At 42.4% G+C, this 1229-nt stretch overlaps 1 protein-coding gene across 1 annotated transcript; it reads left to right on the plus strand.

Annotated features, from left to right (window-relative positions):
• Positions 1–490: 490 nt before the first annotated feature.
• Positions 491–1015, plus strand: LOC100996696 (polyadenylate-binding protein 4-like). Its single transcript, XM_047429976.1, has one exon. The coding sequence runs from the start codon at positions 491–493 to the stop codon at positions 971–973; it is 483 nt and encodes a 160-aa protein (XP_047285932.1). The 3' UTR covers positions 974–1015.
• The last annotated feature ends 214 nt before the right edge of the window (positions 1016–1229 follow it).

The following is a 1229-nucleotide window of genomic DNA, read 5'->3' on the forward strand; positions in this document are numbered from 1 at the left end:
CATATGTGCCATGCCATATCTAGGGAATATTTAGTAAGTCTTTAGAATATTTCTTGATGAACTCTAATTTCTAATTGAACTTGAGATAACATATTCAATCTCTTCTCTATTATCTTTATCACATTGTCACCTAGAGAGATAGAAAGCACAATATTAGCATTCCTGACATAGATGATTTTTGAATACTATCTTTTATTCAACAGAAGAGCATTCCTCACCCTTCCTTGTAAAATTTCTAATTTTACCAATTTGATTTAATTTTTACCTATTGAAGACAAAAACTAATGGAAGAATGTTAATGAGCCAATCTATCTCCAGAAACATTTAACAAAATTGTATGCATATGATTGTGTTTATTTACGCAGGAACATATATGGAAAGGAGACTCATGTCTTTTATCAGAATTTCCAAGGCATCTGTAAACTAAAATATGCTTAAAAACCATTTAAAATTGGGGAAACACAAAGTTATTGCTTATTTGAATAGAAATATGTCAGCAGCTGCCAGTCTGGAGGCGTTCCCACAGCTGTGCAGAACTCAGCGCAGCGCGCTGCTGTTCGCGGCTGTTGCCGCTGCTGCTCCCCGGGCTGGGGCTGTTGCCCGCTACAAATACGCCTCCAGTGTTCGCAGCTCTCATCTTGCAGTACAGCGCCTGCATGCACCCCAGCCTGAGGTCCAAGTGCAGGGACAGGAGCCACTGACTACCTCCATGCTGGCCGCAGCACACCCCCAGGAACAGAAGCAGATGCTGGGAGAACGCTTGTTCCCACTCATCCAAACAATGCATTCAAACCTGGCTGGGAAGATCACGGGAATGCTGCTGGAGATCCACAACTCTGAGCTGCTGCACATGTTAGAGTTCCCCGAGTCTCTCCATTCCAAGGTGGATGAAGCTGTAGCAGTTCTACAGGCTCATCATGCCAAGAAAGAAGCTGCCCAGAAAGTGGGCGCTGTTGCTGCTGCTACCTCTTAGACAAGGAAAAACCGATTCAAAAGCCAAATAACCCCTCATGGAGTTCAGCTCAAGGTTTGTAGACTTCCTAGCTTGTCCTGTGGACCTCAAAACCAAGAACTACAAATTGCAAATTTAATAGGTCATTTTGTATCAAAAGGTCGAATATGAAGCGCCTAGAATTTTTCAATTATACGAATATGTTCTTGGGGTTCTGCTGTGGCCCAGTGTGAACTTTTTTTTTTCTATTGTGGGTTTTGATTTGTCCCCCAAGAAA

Source organism: Homo sapiens, chromosome 12 (genome assembly GCF_000001405.40).
Source record: "Homo sapiens chromosome 12, GRCh38.p14 Primary Assembly".
NCBI lineage: Eukaryota > Metazoa > Chordata > Mammalia > Primates > Hominidae > Homo > Homo sapiens.